Genomic DNA, 23,074 nt, shown 5'->3' on the forward strand with positions numbered 1-23,074 from the left:
CCCAGCTCTGTTGCCTGGAGACAGATACCTTGAGGATACTCACAGCCAGCGCTGCGTGCTTCTGCAGCTTGCTGTGCTGGCTGGAGGGCTTGGGGGTCTTCCCGGCCAGGCGGTCTTTGTGCCTCCTGCTGCTCATGTGCTAATGGACAGACAGACAGACTGGGAACAAGATGACAAAGCCCAAGGACCCCAAGACCATCATCCTCGACTCTTCCCCTTCCTCTATCCACAGCTCATACATCCAAAGCACACAGACTGGGTCCTCACCCTGGGGTAGGCCCTGGGAAGGGGAGGTGAGTCTTGGCCTTTGCCCTTAATTGGCCCACTGGCCTGCTGGCCTCGCTTCTCCAGCCTGCTCTGCTGTGCCCTGCCTGCTCTCTTCAGGGTCCCTCCCTCTGCTGCCCTGCCCCCCAACCCCCTCCCCTGGCTCCAACCCCAGTCACAGCCTCACTTCTCCCACCTGCTTCAGTTGGGTCTCTGAATTGACCTGGAGCTGACAGAGAGCACAGTGGAAGGCAGGGCTGGGCCCCTGCCGGCCGCCCCGGCCCCCTGTGACTCTCTTGGCTTTGTGTCCGGCACCTCCCCTGGACACCGGGCGGCCCCGGCTCCTCCGGGGAGCCCCTCGCTGACCTTCCATCATCCACCGGTGCTTGGCTCCTGGAGAGGGAAGAAGGCAGTCTCTCAGCAGCAGGAAGGGGTTGCAGGGGCCACAGAGACCCCCTCCACACTCATGCAATTTGGCTCTCCCTGTAAGCCTCACGGCTGCTCTGTGCACACATCGCCCTCCAGCCACACGTGGTTTCCCCTCCCAGCTTCTGTCCTTTCATGCCAGCCCCTCCTATGAAAGGCCTTTCTGCACTACAAATAGCTGCCTTCCCCTTTGCTTTGATCTCAGTCCTTTCCTTCTGGGTGTAATCTAAGGAGAGAGGCAGATGTCTCCTGTCTCCTGTGGAGTGACCCTTCAGAGATTTAGCGACCTTCAGTTCTTGCTGCCTCAGACTTCTCTTCCCAATTCTCCTTCCCCAAGGAGTAATGGGAGGACCCAGAAACGTCCGTTCAGTAACACACAAGCACAAAGCCTCCGCCATCCAACCCTTGAGCGAAGCACCCAGGAACTCAAGCCTGCCCTCATCTGGCGAGGCTTAGCTTCTGTCCCACCCTTTCCCTGGGCTCCAGCTCCTGGGACTACTGACCTGTGTTGTGAGCCTGAAGCTGGGAGGCCGAGTTCACTGTCACCTTACACGTGGGGCAGTAGAGGTGCCCCTTCTCACTCCTGCCTTCCCCACTCATGCTGCTTCCCACGGCAGCTGCCGCTGGCTCAGGCCCCGGTGCCTCTCTCCCAGGCTCTGGGGAGCAAGGTGGGCAGGAGGAAGAAGAGGATGAGGAGGCAGCATCCAAGAGCTCTGAGTGGGCTGGCTCCCTGCATGTAGGGTCTGGAGTTGGTGGTGGCTGGAGTGGAGGCCCAAGAGGAGGGGCTGCAGGAACTGCTGCAGAGATGGAAGAGTGTGAGACCCAAGATGACGCTGCAGACCACGATCTTCAGCTCTGACCATGGAGGTGGCCTGGAGGGCCCCTGGTGGATGACCAGCACTGAATTCCAGGCCCCACTTTTCTACCAACTCACTGGGCAGACTTGGGCCTCAGTTTCCCCATCTGAAATCATTAAGTTGGACACAGTGGTCTCAGAAAGCCCTCACAGCCCTCATATCCTTATTTGCTAACTTAAACAGAGATCACCAAAAAAGATGTACTAGAATGTTCAGAGAACACTATTCATAATATCATAAAACTGAAACTACCCACATGTCCACCAACAGGAGAGCAGATTTTTAAAAAACAATGGTGCGGGCTGGATACGGTGGCTCATGTCTGTAATCCGAGCACTTTGGGAGGCCGAGGCAGGTGGATCACCTAAGGTCAGGAGTTCGAGACTGGCCTGGCCAACATGGTGAAACCCTATCTCTACTAAAAATACAGAATTAGGCGTGGTGGCACATGCCTATAATCCCAGCTACTCGGGAGGCTGAGGCAGGAGAATCGCTTGAACCTGCAAGGTGGAGGTTACAGTGAACTGAGATCACACCACTGCACTCCAGCCTGGGCGACAGAGTGAAACGCCATCTCAAAAACAAACAAACAAACAAAAAAAACACAGTGGTATGGGCCAGACGCAGTGGCTCACGCCTGTGATCCCAACACTTTGGGAGGCCAAGGTTAGCAGATCACTTGAGTCCAGGACTTCGAGACCAGACTGGGTGACACAGCGAAACACCATCTGTACTAAAAATACAAAAATTAGCCAGGCATGGTGGCACATGCCTATAGTTCCAACTACTTGGGAGGCTGAGGCAGGAGAATCGCTTGAGAGCCAGGGAGGTGGATGAGCCTAGGTCACACCACTGCACTCCAGCCTGGGTGACAGAGCCAGACCCTGTCTCAAAAAAAAAAAGAGCTTTTAAGAATTTAAATTAAAAAAAAATAGTGGTATGATCCACGGTGGAGTACTACACAGCAATGAAAGAGAACAAACTACAGCTACACGCAAAAACATGGATGAATCTTACAGATATAATGAATGTTGATGAATGTTTGTGAGAGATGAATAAAAACTAGATACCGGCCAGGCAGGGTGGCTCACGCCTGTAATCCCAGCACTTTGGGAGGCCGAGGTGGGTGGATCACAAGGTCAGGAGTTCGAGACCAGCCTGGCCAATATGGTGAAACCCCGTTTCTACTAAAAATACAAAAATTAGCTGGACGTGGTGGCAGGTACCTGTAGTCCCAGCTACTTGGAAGGCTGAGGTAGGAGAATGGCTTGAACCCAGGAAGCAGAGGTTGCAGTGAGCCAAGATTGCACCGCTGTGCTCCAGCCTGGGAGACAGAGCGAGACTCTGTCTCAAAAAACAAACAAACAAAACAAAAAAAACCCACAAAACAAAACAGATACAAAAAAACCCCTGCACACTCTATGTTTCACCAAAAATAGGTAAAGCTGATCTATGCTGAGAAAAGTCAGGATCGTATTTACCATCAGAGGGGTTGTAGTTAGTTGAATAGTGTCTCCCCCAAAATTCACATCTATCTGGAACCTCAGAATGTGACCTTATTTGGAAACAGGGTCTTTGAAGATAAAATTAGTTAAGATGAGGTCATGCTGGGTTCGGGTGGGATTGATCTAGTGACTGGTACCCTTATAAAAAGAGCTTGTGGAAACACAGGGACACACAAGGGAGAATGTGGAGATGGAGGTGGAGATTGGAGTGATGCGTCTATAAGCCAAGGAGTGCCAAGGAATACTGGCAGCCACCAAAGGCCAGAAGAGAAGCATGGGACACTTTCTCCTCTAAGCCCCCAAGAAGGAACCAATGCTGTCAACGCCTTGATTTCAGACTTCTGGCCTCCAGAGCTGTGTGAAAATAAATTTTTGTTGTTTTCAGTCACCCAGGTTGTAGTCTCTTTTTTTGGGGGTGGGGGTGGGCAGGGGAGGTTAGAGACAAGGTTTTGCTCTGTCACCCATAGCTCACTGCAGCCTCGACCTCCTGGGCTTAAGCAGATCCTCCTGCTTCAGCCTCCTGAGTAGCTGGGACTACAGGTGTGCATCATCATGCCTGGCAAATAAATTTTTTGTAGAGACAGGGTCACACCATGTTTCCCAGACTGGTCTCAAACTCCAGGCTTAAAGCAATCCTCCCGCCTCAGCCTCCCAAAGTGTTAACCATCACAACATGTGAGCCACCATTCCTAACTTCACAAATGAAGTCATTTGTGAAGGCAGCCCTTGGAAATGAATACTTCAAGGTAATGACCAGGAGGAGGTGCAAGACAAGCTTCTGAGGTGCTGGTAACGTGTTTCCTGATCTGGGTGTGTTCAGCTTAGGAAAATTCATGGCGTGGTACACTTGTGTGCCTTTGCCTGTCTGTATGGAATACTCCAACACAAGCAAAAAGAATAAGCAGAAATCTCTCAACCCCTTGTCGGAAACCAGATTTGGAGTGGAGACGTGGGAAAGAGAAGAGCTCAGGACTGACCTTTACTCTGTGGCTCTCCAGGGGCTCCACTGGCCAGCGTTGGGATTGGGGACACTACAGCCCCATCCTGGGCCTGGGTGTGTGGCCTCTGCTTGCTCTTGGCAGCCTCGACAGCCTTGAGTTTTCTGGCGTGTTTGTGGCCTTTATAATGTGCCTCGGCCTGGTTCTGGGGAGGGGAGGGCAAGAGGTCACCATTCACTGGCTGAGTCCACATGCCCCATCTGTGAACTGGAGCCCAGCAGGGGGACAGGTCAAAGGGAGGCAGGGCTCAGGTCACACAAAGGGCAAGTCCTTGTCCTTGTCATCATCATCACCATAGCACATGTGGCTCTGAGGTTTGCAGAATGTGTTCTCGCACATGAACTCCAAGGCAGGCTGCCTCTGGCTTCAGATCTGACCCAGCCACTTACTAACCACATCTTTTTGTTGTTGTTGTTGTTGTTTTTGTTTTTTGTTTTTTGAGATGGAGTCTCGCTCTGTCGCCCAGGCTGGAGTGCAGTGGCGCCATCTCAGCTCACTGCAACCTCCGCCTCCCGGGTTCAAGCGATTCTTCTGCCTCAGCCTCCGGGGTAGCTGGGACTACAGGCGCCCGCCACCACACCCGGCTAATTTTTTGTATTTTTAGTAGAGACGGGGTTTCACCATATTAGCCAGGATGGTCTCGATCTCCTGCCTCGTGATCCACCCGCCTCAGCCTCCCAAAGTGCTGGGATTACAGGCGTGAGCCACCACGCCTGGCCACTAACTACATCTTTAGGCAAGTAACATCTCTCTGAGCCTGAGTCTCCTCACCCATAAACCCTGTGATGATAATACTGACCTCATGGGGTTGTCAGAATTACATGGGAACATGAATTACAAGGGCCGAGTACATAGAGTAGGTGCTCAATGAATGTTAGTTATCAAGTGTATCAATGCACAAATGGAGAAAGCAGAGCAATCCCCACACTTTGGGGTGTATGTACCCCAGAACATTCATCCCTTTGTTCATTTGTTCAACAAGTCATTACTGAGCATTTGCTATTTGCCAGGCACTGTGCCCGGGGTCCGGCAGGAAGAAGAATGGTTCCTCCCTCAGAACGAATTCTCTCCTCCATCTTTTTTTTTTTTTGAGACGGAATCTCGCTTTGTCACCCAGGCTGGAGTGCAACGGGAGCAATCTAGGCTCACTGTAACCTCTGCCTCCTGGGTTCAAGCGATTCTCCTGCCTCAGCCTCCCGAGTAGCTGGGATTACAGGCACCTGTCACCACAACTGGCTGCTTTTTTTTTTTTCTTCTGTATTTTAGTAGAGATGGGGTTTCACCATGTTGGCCAGGCTGGTCTCTAACTCCTGACCTCAAGTGATCCACCCACCTTGGCCTCCCAAAGTGCTGGGATTACAGGCATGAGCCACCACGCCCAGCCTCTCCTCCATCTCTTGCAGGACTCATGGAACCAGAAGGCCTGAAGGGAATCCTCAAATCTGGTCTGTCAGTGTCCTCCCTCCAAGGGTCCTCACTTGCTGCTCCCCGGCCCACCTCCTTGAAACATGGGAAAGACAGGCCCCCATGGCCCCTCCCTGGATGCTATACCACAGCAGTTCTGCTGGCATCCAACCGAAACCCCAGATTGCCTAACAGGAGGTAGACCTTCCCTGGGAGGCCAGAATGAGGTTCCTCCTCTACCTAGTGGTAAGATGTAGTAGAAAGGGGTAGGCTGTAGTAGAAAGTCATAGACCTTGGGGTCAGCCAGGCCTGGATTCATATCCCAGCTTTGCTACTTACCAGCTGTGTGGTCTTAGGCAAGTCACTTAACCTCTCTAAGGCTCACTTTCCTCATCTGAAAATCGGGGATTATAATAGCGCCTCTAGGCCAGGCGCGGTGGCTCACACCTGTAATCCCAGCATGTTGGGAGGTTGAGGTGGGTGGATCACTTGAGCCCAGGAGTTCGAGACCAGCTTGGGCAACATGGTGAAACCCTGTATCTGCCAAAAATATAAAAAAATTAGCCAGGCGTGGTAGCACATGCCTGTAATCCCAGCTACTAGGGAAGCTGAGGCACAAGAATCACTTGAACCCTGGAGGTGGAGGCTGCAGTGAGCCAAGATTGCGCCACTGCACTCCCGCCTGGGTGACAGAGTGAGACCTTGTCTAAAAAAACAAAACAAAACAAAAAAATCCCGCCTCCACCCGTCTCACAGATGTATCATGAAAACTATTATTTAAGGGGATGGGCATGATCACATTCTGTAAACTCTCAGGTGCCTTAAGAGCTCAGCTCCAGACCAGGAGCTGATGAGATGGGCCACTGGGACCTGGAGTGGAGGAAGGGCAGTCTTCTCTCTTGCAGAAGGATCCAGAACACAGGAGAGAGGCCTGGGGGGAAGGAAATGGAATCCCACTGGGCTACAGCTGGGCAGAAGGGGAAGGGGCAGAAGAATCTAGAGAGAGGAGAGGATGCGATGGTTAAAGGACCAAGAGTGCCTCTTCTGCAGCCAGGGTGGAAAATACCGACCACAGCCCCTTTGCCACTGATATTCCTCCCAGAAGGACTCTGAAAGCCCAGCCTCCAGCCCTCTCCCTGCCCAGCCCCCTCCCCAGACCTGCTTTCACTACTTTGTCTCACCGCTGAGTTGAACCTCAGGTGACAGATGTTACAGGAAATGAACAGCTTCTTCTTCAGAGGGGAGGGGACACCAAACGTGTGGCTGATGACAGCTTTCTGGACCGGGTCCATCTGTGAAGGGAGTGGGAGGGCATAATAACTCTGGGGTTGGCTTGGGAAGCAGGGGTCGGGGGCAGCACAAAATGCCCAAAACTAAAGATGACTGAAGAGGGCCTTGGTCAGCTTCTAGGAAGAACTTTTCCATCCTGTGGATGTTGGAAAGAGAAACAGCTGGGCCAGGCGCGGTGGCTCACACCTGTAATCCCAGCACTTTGGGAGGCCGAGGCAGGCAGATCACCTCAGGTTGGGAGTTCAAGACCAGCCTGACCAACATGGAGAAACCCCATCTCTACTAAAAAAAAAATACAAAATTAGCCAGGTGTGATGGCGCATGCCTGTAATCTCAGCTACTCGGGAGGCTGAGGCAGGAGAATTGCTTGAACCAGGGAGATGGAGGTTGCGGTGAACCGAGAGCAGGCCATTACACTCCAGCCTGGGCAACAAGAGCGAAACTTCGTCTCAAAAAAAAAAAAAAGAAAAGAAAAAGAAAAAGAAAAGGAAAGAAAGAAGAAGAAACAGCTGCCTGGGTGCAGTGGCTCACGCCTGTAATCCCATCACTTTGGGAGGCCAAGATGGGTGAATCACCTGAGGTCAGGAGTTCAAGACCAGCCTGGCCAAGAGAAACTCCTTCTCTACTAAAAATACAAAAATTAGCCAGGTGTGGTGGCACGTGCCTGTAGTCTCAGCTACTCAGGAGGCTGAGGCAGGAGGCTTGAACCTCAGAGGCAGAGGTTGCAGTGAGCTGAGATTGCGCCACTGCACTCCAGCCTGGGCAACAGAGTGAGACTCTGTCTCAAAAAAAAAAAAAAAAAAAAAGAGAAGAGAAAAGAAAAGAAAGGAAAAGAAAAGAAAAGAAAAATACACAGCCTCTCCCGGCTGTCTTTATTTGTCAGCCTAGGCTTCTGCTTGGAAGCAGGGGAATGGCCAGAGTGCCCTGCATGTTTCTGGGACATAGAACCATGTCCTGGTGATCACCTTGGCATCTCTTGGTGCCCCTTAGGTCATTATTTTTGTTTTTTGTTTTTCTCCTTTGCAATAATTACAACTATTGGGACAGAGAGTTGGAAACAAGGAGAGGCAGGGAAGAGACAAAGAACTCGTCTGTTGGAATTTCCTCTCCCATCACCCAGGCTTCATGCAGGGACCTGTGGGCTGGGGGAAGATAAGTCCTATCTCATCAGCTCTATCACTGTCACAGGGCCTGAGGCTGCTGACGACCTTTTTTTTTTTTTTTTTTTTTTTTTATAAGATGGAATACTGCTCTGTCGCCCAGGCTGGAGTGCAGTGGCATGATCTCAGCTCACTGCAACTTCCACCTCTCAGGTTCAAGTGATTCTGCTGCCTCAGCCTCCCGAGTAGCTGGGATTACAGGCGCCCACCACTACGTCTGGCTAATTTTTGTTATTTTTAGTAGAGACAGGGTTTCACCATGTTGGCCAGGCTGGTCTCGAACTCCTGCCCTCAAAATGATCCGCCTGCCTTGGCCTCCCAATGTGCTGGAATTACAGGTGTGAGCCACCGTGCCCAGCCATGACGACCTCTCTTGAGAGAGTGAGAGCCACAGCCAGGGGAGGTGGGGGGCCAGTAGGGGGCAGGGAGCAGCAAGTGGAGGCCTAAGGTTCCCCAAGGAGTAGGATCGTTTCTTTGGAATATTAATTTGGATTTTTTTTCTTTTCCTTATTATTTTTTTGAGATGGAGTCTCCCTCTTGTCGCCCAGGCTGGAGTGCAATGGCGGAGCCAAAATCTTGCAACCTCCGCTTCCTGGGCTCAAGCGATTCTCCTGCCTCAGCCTCCCAAGTAGCTGGGACTACAGGTGCCCACTACCATGCTCGGCTAATTTTTGTATTTTTAGTAGAGATGGGGTTTCACCATCTCTGTTGGCCAGGCTAGTCTCAAACTCCTGACCTCAGATGATCAGCCCACCTCAGCCTCCCAAAGTGCTGGGATGACAGGCATGAGCCACTGCACCTAGCTTCTTTTCCTTATTTTAAATCATTTTTTTCTTCTATAGAATTAAGGCTTTATGTTCCCTTTTCTCAGGAAGTTGGGCCAAATGCAGCTGTCTGAACTTGTCAAGAACTTTCCAGGCTGGGCGTGGTGGCTCACACCTGTAATCCCAGCACTTTGGGAGGCCGAGGTGGGAGGATCCCTTGAGCTCCAGAGTTTGAGACCAGCCTGGGTAATATAGTGAGACCTCATCTCTGCTTATATAAAAATAAAATAAAATAAAAAAGGAACTTTCCAAACCTTCCCAAGAAAAGAAAACAGAGCTTAGAGAGAAGAACATGGGTGCAGAAACTTCCCTGAGAACAGAAAGTGGTTCAAATTTTCACAGCACCCAGGGCCAGCAAGGGGCTCAGGGGACAGGACCTCAGAGGAGAATGGCCTGCAGGGGCCCCCTGCAATTGGAACCATGCCATTCAACAGTGAGCCTGTCAGCAAGCGACAGCAAGGACTCAAGACCAGAGGACCACCCCCCAAATGCCTCAGACTCCTTAGGACCTCTGTCTAACTCTGGAGGGTGGGAGGGAAGGGATTCCTAAGTGTGACTGAGGTGGAGTTTGCCACCATCTGCTCAGGATGGGGCATGCCACACCCATGATTTCACTTGAGTTTTCAAAATTTAAAAAAACAGAGATGGTTGCTGATCCCTCATATAGTGAATTAAAATTCATATACTTGTTATGCACACGTGTACAAGGAAATGTACAGACTAGGACACACACACAGCACAGAAGCTTCAGGCAGTTACAAATGCTCAGACAAGCAGAACAATTCACACTCATGCACACAAAGGGCACATGACCACAGGTAAACTCACAATCACCCAAGCCACACAAAAACACGCATGCTCAGAGGGCAGATACACGCCAAACACACAAAAGACACAAGGACACAATAAACCCTCAGATTGTGCAGGCACATACCTTAATTACATAAAATTACCCATGCACAAAGAGTTGTTTACAAACACACGTTGGACACCAACACACAAACTCACATCCACATATAACATACAAAACCTATAGAAACTACAACAAAAAGGCACAGGTTACACACACACACACACACACACACACACACACACACACACACGTCATCCACAGGAGCGCCTACACAGAAGCTTAAGTGGAATGCACAGACTACAGGCCCTTGCAGGCCCAGCAGCTATGATGGTGGGGGTGGGGAAAGGGCTGACACCATCTTGTTCCCCAGCCTAAGAGAGAGCGGGTCCCTCTCTTAGGATCCCAAATAGGGGTCCCTATTTGGGGAGCACCTATCCCCTCTGGGGGATGTTGGAGAAAAAGCTCCTGGTTAGACCCAGCTGCTGAGAGCTGGACCCTCTGAACCCACCTTCTGTGCCCACCCACAAGCTTGTGTGCATGCCCCCACCCGCCAGCCCAGCCCATACCGTGCTGAAGTTGGGGAAGAGACTGAGCGGGGCAGCGCCATTGAAGTGGAAGGCGAGCAAGTGCTTGAAGTCCAGCGGGGGCTGCAGAGGCCGGGTGGGCAGGGGCAGGGAGGCCAGCAGGGGGCTGGGGGCGCCGGAGGCCGGGCCTGCTGCAGGAGGAAGAAGGGCAGGGTCTGAAATGGGCTCTGTCCTACCCCCGTGGCCAGAACAAGAGGCGGGTGGGCTTCTTGGGTGTGGAGCTGGGCAGAAACCTGTGTCTCTCTTCACAGAGTGGCACCAGCCAGACCCATAGTGATTATAGCCCCCTTCTCTGTGCCCTTCCTCCCCACAGCTGGGGAAGCAGAGGCAGGGAGTCCACAGTTGAGGCTCCCAGCCCAGAGGGATGACCCTCCTGCCCCTACTGAGGCAGCATACTGAACCCCAGGGCAGCCCAGCCAAGAGAGGGACAGAGGGGTCTGGGCAGGCCCTGACACACACACCACCATGGAGACTGCATGATGTGCTGGGATTCCATTTTATTGCAAATTAAACTCAAACCCAGGGGTATTAGGAAAAGGCTAGCCCTCGCCCCTCTCACTCTCTAACTATCCTCCCTCCCTCCAGATCCCCAGGATTTCATGGCCAGGGCTGACAGGAGGGAATGGGAAACCCATGGGCTCTGAAGGGATGTGCTCCCCAGCTCTGATGAGGCCTAAACTGCTTCCCCCAGGAGGTAAATAAGCCAACATTCCTGGGTTGGGCCTCGACGCCAGTCCTTGGAGGTGGCAGGTACAGCACTGTGGTTTTGCAGTCTTTGGTCTTAAAGGTCTGAGGCAAGGGCAGGGGAGGGGTAGGAACTTGGAGAGCAACTGGACTTTGAGGAAGAAAATATCAGAAAAAAAAAAAAATCCAGCCCATCTGGGGCTTTTTTCGACCCTGTCATTGCAAAACCAAAAGTAGTCCTTTTAGATGTTTGTGTGGTAACACTATGAAAGATAGCATAGATTTATTTCACATTTGTAGGTTTTTATGTCTATATACACAGTTATACACAGAAAAGGCCTGAGGCTGCCTATTGGTGAGGAGGGAAGGAAGGGAACCACTATCTCTCTGGAACCATTGGCCCTTGAACCACCAGCTTGTGTACAGAGAGGACACTGTGCTGTGTGTCAGAAACAAGCACGGTCATCTACTCCCCAGTCATAGCTGAAGAGAAGAGACACTGCCAGGAGTGGGGCTAAGAAACAGCCAAGGACCAGACGCAGTGGCTCATGCCTGTAATCCCAGCATTTTGGGAGGCCGAGGCAGGTGGATCACTTGAGGTCAGGAGTTCGAGACCAGCCTGGCCAACATGGTGAAACCCTGTCTCTACTAAAAATACATAAGTTAGCCAGGCATGGTGGCAGGCGCCTGTAATCCCAGCTACTCAGGAGGCTGAGGCAGGAGAATTGCTTGAACCCAGGAGGCAGAGGTTGCAGTGAGCCAAGATCACACCACTGCACTCCAGCCTGGGCGACAGAGCAAGACTCCATCTCAAAAAAAGAAAAAAAAAGAAAAGAAAAAGAAAGAAACAGCCAAGGACCAAGGACCAGTGTCCGTTCCCTCAGCCACTCAATTTCCAAGACCTAGTCTTCCTTCCCCAAGCCAAAAACTCCCATCTTTGGGGGGACCCAAACTTGCCCCGAGTCCAGAAGGGAAAAGGGTGAGCTACTCCTCATCTAACTGTGTAAAGGCCAGGAATGATTTAGGGTACCCCAGATCCTAGCATCTCTGCCCACCCGCCCAGGCCCCTCTTGAGCCAGTCCCTTCCTCCACAGCCCACAGGGTGGGGGGGGTTGGTGGGAAGCTCCAGAAGGGCGGGTGGATGGCCTCAGGCCCCTGGGAGGCTGCAGTCAGCAGATCATCTTGGGTGCAGCATGGTCAAGTCTAGGTTGGCCCTTACAGTGCCCAGGGCCCCAGGCTGGATGGGCCGAGGGAAGGAGGCCACCCTCAGGTGAGCTGCGACCCCAGGAAGCCCTCTCCCCACCCACTCTCTAAGAACTCCACAGCCAACCCGAAGTCAAACTCGTGCAGCGGGGGCCCATCCACTGCGATCTTCACCATGTGGCCCCCCCGGCCTTCCCCGGCCCCACTCTGCCCCCACCACCGCAGCTCCCGGCTGCGGCCGACCTTGTCCAGCAGGCCAGCGCCCGCGGGCAGCGCCAAAGCCAAGGCGGCTAGGGCGGCGAAGTCGGGGAAGAGCTCGTGCAGCTCCGAGTGCGCGCACGCCAGCTGGGTGCACAGGGCCCGCGGGCCGAGCCGCCCAAGGCCGAATACTACGCGCTTAAACAGCGCGAAGTCGCCCAGCGCCCGCTGGCGCACCACGGCAGGAGCAAAGCCGCGCAGCAGCACCCGCAGCGCCCCCTCGCCATGCGTGCCCAGCTCCTCCGGCGCCTGCGGGTAGCGTCGGGGGTCGAAGATCGCTGCGAAGGCGGCCACGGCGTCCAGCGAAGGCCCGGGGTAGGAGTCCTGTAGGCCCTTCCGCATGGAGTCCAGGAAGGATCCCCGGAGCCACTCCAAGCCCCGGACCGCAGCCTCGGAGTAACCGAGCAGCTCCACGCCGCGGTAGGTGCAGCGTCCGCTGCTGGCGTCAGGGTCCATGGATGCCAGTTCCTGCAGGAAGCCCTGGAGGCGGGCCCCACCTGAGCCGCGCTGAGCTTGGAGGGAGGCCGCAGCCGCCATCACCAGAGGCTGCAGCAAGGCCAAGTCCGGCTCTTCTGCCTGCAGGACAAGGGAGAGCTTCTGCACAGAGGGCAGGGCATCCAGCAGCAGGTGGGTGAAGGCCACGAAGGTGAACTGGCGCAGGGCCAGGGCCAGTGACCCCGCCACAGGTGAGGCAAGGGCTGCAGCCTCCAGGGTGGGCACCAGGCCAGGCCAGGCCTCGGCCACTGCTTCCACTACAGGCAGCAGGGAGGCCCAGGGCACTGGCCGAGGCCCTGCCAAGTCAATAGCTGCAAGGTCCAGTGCTGCCCGGAGCTCAGGGACCAAGTGGGAACTAGGGCCACCATGGAGGCGGAATAGGGCATCCAATATGCTCTCATATTGACCCAAGTAGGCCGGGGGCTCAGGATCTGTCCGGCCAGGGAGACAATGCAGCTCTGCCAGCAGTGGGCAAGTGGCCCGGAGCTGTGGGCCCACACTCCCCAGGCGCTCACTGGGGAGGCTTGAGCTGAGCCAGGCCAGCTTGGGTGCAGATACGCCGAAAGCCTGCAGGATGTCCAAGAGCTGGCCAGCAGTGGCCTCGCCCTCCTGTAGCTCCACACTGCCCAGGAAGGTGGTGGCGGGCTGGCCATCACAGGGGGACACTGAAGTGGCAAACAGGGCCAGGCTGTGTGACTCCGGCCAGTCTCTGGTCTCGTCCAACACCAGCCCCACATATGGGGATGCCTTCAGGCGCTGGCAGGCCTCTGTGTGCAAGACACTGGCAATGGCCACCTGGGACAGCCAGGGAAAGAAAGGGAGGGAGGACTGAGTTAGGCTTGTCCTGAGAGGCGGAGGCAGGCAGTGCGGGGTGGTGGAAAGAGCCCAGGCCTTGAGGTTAGACAGACTTAGGGACTAATCCTGGCTTTGCCACTTACTGGCTGTGCTACCTTCGGCCAGTCACTTCACCTCTCCGAGCCTCAGTTTTCTCATCTCTACAGCTCCTGGCCTGTCTAAGAATATCCTCCCACCCCGGCCTCCCACCACACCCGGTCTAGTTTTCTCAGCTCTTATACCTGCTGTCAGCTAATACCAGCCCGAAATCTTCTCAAAGCTTGTTGTGAATTATAAACATCAACTTTTGTTGTGGTAAAAGCACTTTATGAATCATAAAGAGCTCTAGGAAAGCTAGTTTTTTCACTGTGTTTTTCTATAGCATCATCCTAGTCTGCCCTATTCCTGGGGGTCTCCCTCCACTGTCCAGCTCAGTGATTAACTGATAGGCACACTCACTCCCAACTCCCAACCAGTCACCCTGGGTCCCAGCTGTGTGCTGTTTCTCTATTTGTCATCTCTGTAGGATGAGATCCAACTCCCCCACCTCCAACCCAGCCCATAGGACTTACACAGTTAGTACCTAGGACAGAGCTGCAATTTGCATGCTTCCAGGGGCCATGTGAGTGATATTGAGCTTGGAGAGGGCCAGGGATAAGCCAGAGGGAACACCCTGCTCTCCAACTCCAGCACATCCTGCTCTGAGAGCATGGGGACCTTGCTTTTCAACACAAGTCACAAATCTAGATTTTTATATGTAATCTCCTGAGTTTTTTAAAAGTTGAAACACATTCGAGTTTTTCAAAAACATTATGAAAACCAATTAAACAGGCTCAGCACAGAAAACAGCCCCAAAAGAAAACTAAGTCAAAAGTCATTTCCATTTCCATTCCAGCACTTTGCGGGGCCAAGGCAGGAGGATTGCTTGAGGCCAGGAGCCCAAGACCAGCCTGGGCAACATAATGAGACCCCATCTCTATGTTTAAAAAAAACCAAAAAACAAAAAACAGAGGCCAGGCGCGGTTGCTTACACCTATAATACCAGCACTTTGGAAGGCTGAGGTAGGCAGATCACCTGAGGTCAGGAGTTCGAAACTGGCCTGGCCAACATGGTGATACCCCGTCTCTACTAAAAATACAAAAATTAGCTGAGCGTGGTGGCACATGCCTATATTCCTAGCTAATAGGGAGGCTGAGGCAGGAGAATCACTTGAGCCAGGAAGGCAGAGGTTGCAGTGAGCTGAGATCACGCCACTGCTCTCCAGCCTGGGTGACAGAGTGAGATTCCTCAAGAAAAAAAAAAAAAATTAAATACATCTGTGGGTCAATCAAGCCTCCAGGCCACCAGTTTGCAACGTCTGATTTAGGCAGTGAGAAGAGTGCCCCTGTGCCCGCTAAGAGGCCTGGTCTGGCCTCTTCACTGTTGTATCCCTGCAGCTGGCCCAGGACCAGGGACATAGGCTCTCAGGGAAGGTTCTGAAGGGTGAAGATATGAATGAAATGCCCTAGCTGCTCCCCAAGGAGCTGGCATGCTGGGGCTGTTCCCAGGTGGCTCAGTGTCCTCCCTTCCCAAGCCCTTCCCCCATACTTCTGGCTGTCACCCACCTGCATGTCCCTCACCCTCCTGGGACTGTAGTAATCGCCATGCTCTGTGCCCAGCAGTGCCTGGCACAGGTTGAACCTCTGCAGCTCGAGCAGGGCAGAGCAGCGGTCATTGGGCACATCCTCCTTTGCCATGCAGTACACAGTAGTCAGCACAGCCACTTTGGCCGGGTCTAACTCCACCTTGACGCCCCTGGAGGCAGGGGTCGTAGCCAGGCCTGGGCAGGCCCCTCCACCTTCAGCCTGGCCCTCAAAAGGGGGCTGGCCCTGGTTGACAGCCAGAGCCTGGCGGTGGGCTCCTGAGGTCACGTGGCGCAGCAGGGCGTGGCGCTGGAAGTTGTCTGTGCCCACAGTGAAGGCGTTTTCGGCTTTGCCATGCTTGTTCCGTACCAGGGCCTGGCGGCACTCGAGGCAGAACATCAGCTTCCGCTCATAGTCAAAGTCCAGCCAGGTAAACTCCTCTTTCCAGTGCTCGTTGAAGTAACGCTTACACTTCTTGTTGGAGTTGGAGGCCTCTCCCGCTGGTTTCTTCCCTGGGGGCACCATTCTTGCTCTCTCAGCAAGGAACCCCCAACCCCCACCTGAATGCTCTTGCCCCCCTGCCTCCCCCACACACAGGCACCTCCCTTGACAAGGAGAGTTGATGGGGAGGCAGGCTGGGGGCAGCCCGCCAGGCTAACAGGGCCCATCCATCTAAGCCTGGAGAGTTTATTCCTGCTCTGCCGGTGGGAGACTGGAGATGAAAGAGACAGGCAGAGGTGTTAGGGGTCTGTCATGGTAGGGGTGGTTTAGGGTGGAGTGGTAGGCTTCATGCTGCCCACAGAGTCCTCCCAGCTGAGGGGTGGAGGGACTCACTGGGGCAGGGGCTCTGGGCAGTGGGTGGAGTCATGCAAAGGGCCCTAGAGCATTATCCAAAGCAGGGGAGGTATGGGGACCCCAGCCCCCTCCCAGGGTCTCTTTCCACCCAGGACAAGGCACTAATTCGCTTTGACTGATGAAGCATCTCAGAACTGGAAAGGCTGGCATCACCTAGGCAACTGTATTTTATAAAGGGGAAACTGAGTCTGGAGACAGGTAGTGGTTCTCAGGGCCCATGAGGAGTTCATAGTGAACCAGGACTAAAACTCAGAACTCTCAACTCCTAGCCCAAAAGATGACTGTGCCCTTCAGCCCACAGTCATCTATTTCATCAGAAGGAAATCAGGCCAGGCATGGTGGCTCACTCCTATAATCCCAGCACTTTGGGAGGTGGCTCACTTAAGCCCAGGAGTTCAAGACCAGCCTGGGCAACATGGCAAAACCCCATCTCTAAAAAAAAAAAAAAAAAAAAAAATTAGCCAGGCATGGTGGTGCATGTCTAGTCCCAGCTACTGGGGAGGTTGAGGCAGGATTGCTTGAGCCTGGGAGGCAAAGGTTGCAGTGAGCCATGATGGCGCCACTGCATTCCAGACTGGGTAATAGAGCTAGACCCTGTCTCAAAAAAAAAAAAAAAAAAAAAAAAGACGGCCGGGTGGGGTGGCTCATGCCTGTAATCCCAGCACTTTGGGAGGCCGAGGCAGGCAGGTCACCTGAGGTCAGGAGTCCGAGACCAGCCTGACCAACATGGAGAAACCCCATCTCTACTAAAGGTAACAAAATTAGTTGGCATGGTGGCACATGCCTGTAATCCCAGCTACTCGGGAGGCTGAGGCAGGAGAATCGCTTGAACCCGGGAGGCGGAGGTTGCAGTGAGCCGAGATCACGCTATTGCACTCCAACCTGGGCAACAAGAGCAAAACTCTGTCTCAAAAAAAAAAAAAAGAAAGAAAAGAAATCAGCAGAAAGCTGATTCTTTCCAAGACACAGGAAGATTTGCTTTCTCTAAAGCTCCATTCCTTATACACACAGGTGAACACACACTCACACTCATACCCATTGGTACTGTGGTTCTGGGATGGGTAGCCCAGACCTGGGGCCTCAGACTGAAGGCAGCTAGCCAGTTGCCTCTACCTCCCTCACTCTGCCACCTCCCCAGGCACGAGGCCAGGATGAGCAGTTCAGGACTGAAAAGCCATGTCCAGCCATTGGCCAAAACCTGCCAACTCTACCTTTTTTTTTTTTTTTTTGAGACAGAGGCTCACTCTGTGGCCCAGGCTGGAGTGCAGTGGCGCAATCTTGGCTCACTGCAAGCTCTGCCTCCCGGGTTCACACCATTCTCCTGCCTCAGCCTCCCAAGTAGCTGGGACTACAGGCACCCGCCATCACGCCCGGCTAATTTTTTGTATTTTTAGTGGAGACGGGGTTTCACCGTGTTAGCCACGATGGTCTCGATCTCCTGACCTTGTGATCCGTCCGCCTCGGCCTCCCAAAGTGCTGGGATTACAGGCGTGAGCCACCGCGCCCAGCCAATTTTTTATATTTTTAGTAGAGACGGGGTTTCACCGTGTTAGCCAGGATGGTCTCGATCTCCTGACCTTGTGATCCGCCCGTCTCGGCCTCCCAAAGTGCTGGGATTACAGGCGTGCGCCACCGCGCCTGGCCTTAACTCTACCTTTTAATTATCTCTCCAACCTGTGTCCTCGTCTTCATGCCTAAATGTAACTACCATTTCTGGAATGTGAACTGAGGCCCTGTGCTAAGTGCTTTACAACGATCCAGGGTCAGACCCAGATGACTCTCTGTGGCTGAGATATTATCCTTTTGGAGAGGACAAAACTGAGGTCTGTGACTTTAACTGGCTTGCTCCAGGATTCATAAGCAATAAGTAGCTGAGGCTCAATCAGAGTGACCTCCTGACCCCAAAGGCTGTACTGAGACCCTGGTCTGTACTGTCTCTCTCCCTCCAGCTGCCTAGCCTTGGCCCAGTTCAGGCCCTCACGGTATCACCTCGATCACTGCAGCTGCCTCGGTCTCTGCATGGTCATTTCCCCCAGACTCATCCCTCACCCAACAGCCAGAGACAGCAAGCTCACACATAGATCCAACTGTGTCACTCCCTAGTTTCCACCTCTTTACTGATATCCCACTGCCTAAGTCTACACACCTAACCACAAGCCAGCAAGGCCCTCCCCAGCCTCTGAATACTTCTGTTAATAGAGCCTCCCGCCATTCCTGTCTGCCCAATCAATCCTGAAGGCTTGCATTCCCAGTAGACACCAAGCTGTTACTTTGTCCCTGCCTTCATCCTCTGAGCCTAGAATTCCCTCTCCCTCCTCTTTCCTTACTAATTCCCACTCATTGCCTGAGAGCAGCTCAGATATCCCTTCTGCCATGCTGATCCCCACAACCTGGGCTGGTAGCCATCCTCTAGTTCCCCACAGCTCCCTATGCGTGAGTCTTCATGACACAATATGGTGAATACAGGGATTCTGTACATATCTCTGCACTGAGTTCCTAGAAGCCAAGACCATGTTTGTTCATTTTCATATCTCGTAAGTCCCTGTCTGGGGCTGGGCACACAGATACCTCTCAGTAAAAGTTGGTTGTTTAAAAGAATGAAAGGGCCAGGCATGGTGGCTCACACCTGTAATCTCAGCACTTTGGGAAGCTGAGGTAGGAGGATCTCTTGAGCCCAGGAGTTCCATACCAGCCTGGGCAACATAAGGAGACCTTGTCTTTACAAATAAAATGTTTTTAAAAAATTAGCTGGGCATGGTGGTGTATGCCTGTAGTCCCAGCTACTCAGGAGGCTGAGGTGGGAAGATCACTTGAGCCCAGGAGTTCAAGGCTATAGTGAGCTATGATCATGCCACTGCACTCCAGCCTGGGAAAAATTGTGAGAACCTGTCTCAAAATAAATAAATAGATAAAATTTTAAACTAAAAATAAAAATACGAGAGGCCAAGGCAGGAGGATCACTTGAGCTCAGGAGTTCAAGACTAGCCTGGGCAACACAGCAATACCCAGTCTCCAAAAGATAAATAAATAACATTTAAAGATAAAATAAAAATAGAAAACAATGCCAACACATTAAAAAAGAAATGAATGGATTCATTTTGGCCACATGAAAGAACTCTTGTTTCTGAGACTGTCAATTAGATGATATTTTTTTTCCTTTTTTTTTTTTTTTAATTGAGACAGTTTCACTGTGTCACCCAGGCTAGAGTGCAGTGGTGCGATCTCAGCTCACTGCAATCTCCACCTCCCGGATTCAAGCGATTCTCCCGCCTCAGCCTCCCAAGTAACTGGGATTACAGGCACATGCCGCCATGCCCGGCTAATTTTTTTTTTTTTTTTTTTTGAGACGCAATTTCACTCTGTCACCCAGGCTGGAGCGCAGTGGCGCGATCTCGGCTCACTGCAAACCCCACCTCCCGGGTTCACGCCATTCTCCTGCCTCAGCCTCCTGAGTAGCTGGGACTACAGGTGCCCGCCACCATGCCCGGCTAATTTTTTTGTATTTTTAGTAGAGACAGGGTTTCACCATGTTAGCCAGGATGGTCTTGATCTCCTGACCTCGTGATCCGCCCGCTTCAGCCTCCCAAAGTGCTGGGATTACAGGTGTGAGCCACTGCGCCTGGCCCCGGCTAATTTTTTTGAATTTTTAGTAGAGACGGGGTTTCACCGTGTTGACCAGGCTGATCTCGAACTCCCGACCTCAGATGATCCGCCCATCTCAGCCTCCCAAAGTGCTGGGATTACAGGCGCCTGGCCCAATTAGACGATCTGAAGCTCTGAGACTGCAGTAACTGTCTTGTCCACTTGACATGTATACCAGTGCCCTGTGTGGAACCAGCACATAGTAGGTGGGTAAAACAAGGGCAGATGAGGAGAGTTCCAGGGCCGGCTGGTTTGGTGCAAGGAAAGGCTGCCAGATGCAATCGTAACTTCTTGGCCCTCTTCCTTGGGACTTTTTTTTTTTCGAGACAGAGTCTTGCTCTGTTGCCCAGTCTGGAGTGTAGTGGTGTGATCTCGGCTCACTGCAACCTCCGCCTCCTGGGTTCAAGCGATTCTCCTGCCTCAGCCTCCTGAGTAGCTGGGATTACAGGCGCGCACCACCATGCCCAGCTAATTTTTTGTATTTTTAGTAGAGACAGGGTTTCACCGTGTTGGTCAGGCTGGTCTCGAACTCCTGACCTCGTGATCTGCCCGCCTCAGCCTCCCAAAGTGCTGGGATTATAGGTGTGAGCCACCGTGCCTGGCCCTTGGGACTCTTGAGTGGCACTTGGTGATGCTCACCACACCCTCCTTGGAATCCTCTTTTCTCTTGGCTTCTAGGATCCCATGTTCCTTGGTTTTCCTTCCTCTGTCCATCACTCCTTGGCCTCTGGAGGTCATCTCCTCCCCCCCTTCCCAACTTCAAATTGTCTAACATTTCAGAACCATCTCTGCAGACCACTGGGAAATACACAAACCCAGCCTGGGCACCACACCACTCCATCCAGCTGCCTCCCCGGCCTGTTCCTAGACAGAACTGTTGATCTATCCTTATAAATATGCCATTCTTGGCTGGATGTGGTGGCTCACACCTGTAATCCTAGCATTTTTGGGAGGCTGAGGTGGGAGGACTGCTTGAGCCCATGAGTTTGAGACCAGCCTGGGCAACATAGGGAGAACCTGTCTTTACCAAAAAAAAAAAAAAAAAAATTAGCCGGTCATGGTGGCATATGCCTATAGTCCCAGCTACTCGGGAAGCTGAGGCAGGAGGATCACTTGAGCCCGAGTTTGAGACTGCAGTGAACTGTGATCACATCACTGTACTCCAGCCACCCTGGGTGACACAGCGAGACCCTGTCTCTAAAAACAAAAACAAAAGCAAATATGCCCCTCTCCCAATCATCCCTGTCTCAGGAAATGAAATCCATCCTTCTTCCTAGGTGCCCTGTCCAGAAACCTGCCCTTCAATCCCTGTTCTCTTCTACATCCAGAACCTGCTCCATCCATAGGTCTTGTTGATTCTTCCTCCAAAATCCACTTCTAACTTGTCCCTTCTCTCCACACCACTGCCTGGCGGCCTTGTCCAGGCCACCTTTATCTTTTGCCTGGACGAGTGCAGTTGCTTCCTGACTGCACACTGGGTTTCCATTCTTAACCTCTCTTAACCAGAGGGGGGCTTTTAAAAATATACCACTTTAGTGAGCCGAGATCATGCCACCGCACTCCAGCCTGGGAGACAGAGCAAGACTCCATCTCAAAAAAAAAAAAAACAAAAATACTGCTTTAGACCCCTCCACAACCACCCACTCCTCTAAGGCCAGTGCCAGAATTCCTTTGAGGTCTGCCAAATGCCCAGGGCTACTGACCTCTCTGGTGGCCACTTGTGTCTCCCTTCCTTCCTAGTAACACCACCCTTCTCTCTGGGTTCCTCCAGAGTGCCAGGTTCCCATCCCCCGGGTCCTTTGCCCGTGCTGTCCCTTCTTCCAGAATATTCCCAGCTGCCCTCCCAATGCTTTACCTGGCCTGTTTCATTTCCCCTTTGGCCTTAGCTTAACCATCCATTCCCAGGAAGTCCCTTCTTTTCTGTCATTGCTCCCTGTTTGTTCTCTCCATTCCATGCTCCACAGATTACAAATCTCTGCTTCTATCTGTGTAGTTCTCTTGCTTCATCCTCTCTCCACCCCCCTTCTCATGCACGTTCCCTGAGGGCAGGAAAGGTAACTAACTTCTTCATGTCTGAATCCCAGAGATGGGTACAGTGCCTGACACCCAGCAAGTGCACCACACAGTTGGGCAGTGAATAAGAAAGAGCAGGTTCCCAGGCAGAGAGGGCAGTGGAGCCAGCCCTTGGGCACCTTTTAGGTGATTAAAACAGCTGCCTTTGACATCCTTTCCTCCCAAGATCCTGTGATTCTATGACCTTGCCCAGCCCACTATGCACAGGATCTCAGAATGGGGGCAGAGGGGTGCAAAAGCAAGGTGATGCCCTTCTGGAATTTTGTCAGATCCTTTCCATGTACATCGAAGCTGCCTATCCTGCCCATTCTGCAGAACAAAAGGCAGGTAGGTAGAGCCCAGGAAGGTGGAGATTCTAAAACGGCTCTGTCCAACACAGCAGCCACTGGCCACTGCAGCTATTGTAAATGCAGCTGTTTAAATTACTTAGAATTAAATAAAACATTAGCATTCAGCTCACACTAGGCACTTTTCAAGTGCTTAGTAGCCAATGTGGCTAGTGGCTATTGCATTGGACAGCACATTTACATCATCCCAGAAAGTTCTATTGGACAGAGCTGCTATAAACAGGTCAAATTCCATTGACATTCTCCCCACCTCAACCTCAAGGAAACAGGCTGAGTGGAGTGAGGTGTAAACAAAACTCCATGGGTCCAGTTGTGACCAAGGCTGACCAGGAGGGCACACTTGCTGCAGACACAGGTCTCCTCTCATTTCTCTCCACACCCTGACCAGCCGGATGGGAGCAGGAACAACTTGACAAGGACCCCAAGGCATGTAAGCCTCAAACAGTATTCATGTGGCCCCAGAATGTGGGTCCCGAGCCTCCTCCCCGGGCTCCTGGGGGCCCCTTGCTTTGGGACCCCACTAAGAGAAGTCCAGCACTCAGCAGACAGGGCCGGGCGCCCCCTGCTCTGACAGCCCTGGTGAGAAGGGGCTCCCCTGCACCTCTTCTCACGCATCCTCCCGGGGGCTGGGACGGGGAGGGCTGAGGAACTTCCTCTGGGGGGCGCGCGGTGACAGAGCCCTCGGTGGGTCCCGCAGAGGCACTGAGCCTCCGCCCGCCCGTCCCGCCCGCTCCGGGAGGGGGCGTCCAGCCCGGCCTGGCGCCCCCGCCCCGTCCGCTCGCACTCACGGAGACACAGGAGCCACCATCTTGGGCGGTGGACGCTCTGGCCGCGGTCTCCTTGGGCTCCACGGAGCGACAGCAGCCACTAGCGGCAACGGGGGCGAAGAGGCGCC

General features: G+C 53.0%; 2 protein-coding genes across 10 annotated transcripts in view, besides 2 other annotated features; both read right to left on the reverse strand.

Annotated features, from left to right (window-relative positions):
• ZNF385C (zinc finger protein 385C) overlaps positions 1-23,074 on the reverse strand; it is a 72,898-nt gene that overhangs the window by 2,014 nt on the left and 47,810 nt on the right. For 2 of the 8 annotated variants that reach the window (NM_001393562.1, NM_001392018.1), the window contains 6 exons: positions 10,148-10,296; positions 6,636-6,746; positions 4,030-4,195; positions 1,194-1,487; positions 461-657; positions 29-139 (listed from right to left, as the gene is read on the reverse strand). In NM_001393562.1, the coding sequence (NP_001380491.1) occupies positions 29-139; positions 461-657; positions 1,194-1,487; positions 4,030-4,195; positions 6,636-6,746; positions 10,148-10,296 (1,028 nt within the window). The remainder of the gene's footprint in view (positions 1-28; positions 140-460; positions 658-1,193; positions 1,488-4,029; positions 4,196-6,635; positions 6,747-10,147; positions 10,297-23,074) is intronic. The other 6 variants (NM_001392016.1, NM_001392015.1, NM_001378270.1 and 3 more) reach the window with 5 other exon arrangements.
• Positions 1,168-1,956: an enhancer, noted in NCBI's record as "NANOG-H3K27ac-H3K4me1 hESC enhancer chr17:40180775-40181563 (GRCh37/hg19 assembly coordinates)". NCBI's record gives its function as "activates a minimal SCP1, AML or CMV promoter by ChIP-STARR-seq in naive H9 embryonic stem cells {active_cell/tissue: H9 hESC(naive)}" and the evidence as "EXISTENCE:reporter gene assay evidence [ECO:0000049][PMID:30033119]".
• Positions 10,643-23,012, reverse strand: C17orf113 (chromosome 17 open reading frame 113). Of its 2 annotated transcripts, none has more exons than NM_001358661.2 (3): positions 22,968-23,012; positions 15,245-15,974; positions 10,643-13,600 (listed from the first exon to the last, which is right to left on the reverse strand). In NM_001358661.2, exons 2-3 carry the CDS (start codon positions 15,785-15,787, stop codon positions 12,116-12,118), a joined length of 2,028 nt encoding a protein of 675 aa, NP_001345590.1. In that variant the 5' UTR covers positions 15,788-15,974; positions 22,968-23,012; the 3' UTR covers positions 10,643-12,115. The 2 variants fall into 2 exon arrangements, with proteins under 2 accessions (NP_001345590.1, XP_047291174.1); XM_047435218.1 differs by having other exon boundaries at positions 22,430-23,012.
• Positions 22,821-23,020: a silencer, noted in NCBI's record as "silent region_8511". NCBI's record gives its function as "represses an Ori minimal core promoter by ATAC-STARR-seq in GM12878 lymphoblastoid cells {active_cell/tissue: GM12878}" and the evidence as "EXISTENCE:reporter gene assay evidence [ECO:0000049][PMID:35858748]".

The sequence above is a fragment of the Homo sapiens genome, chromosome 17, assembly GCF_000001405.40.
Source record: "Homo sapiens chromosome 17, GRCh38.p14 Primary Assembly".
In the NCBI taxonomy this organism is placed as follows: domain Eukaryota; kingdom Metazoa; phylum Chordata; class Mammalia; order Primates; family Hominidae; genus Homo; species Homo sapiens.

What these genes read in the sequence shown, in the direction of transcription:
- C17orf113 (NM_001358661.2), bottom strand. Translation starts at nt 15,787, where the DNA reads ATGGTGCCCCCAGGGAAGAAACCAGCGGGAGAGGCCTCCAACTCCAAC. An exon ending in GGAGGGTGAGGGACATGCAG is followed by an intron (nt 13,601 to 15,244) that starts GTGGGTGACAGC and finishes TGGCTGTCCCAG; the next exon opens with GTGGCCATTGCCAGTGTCTT.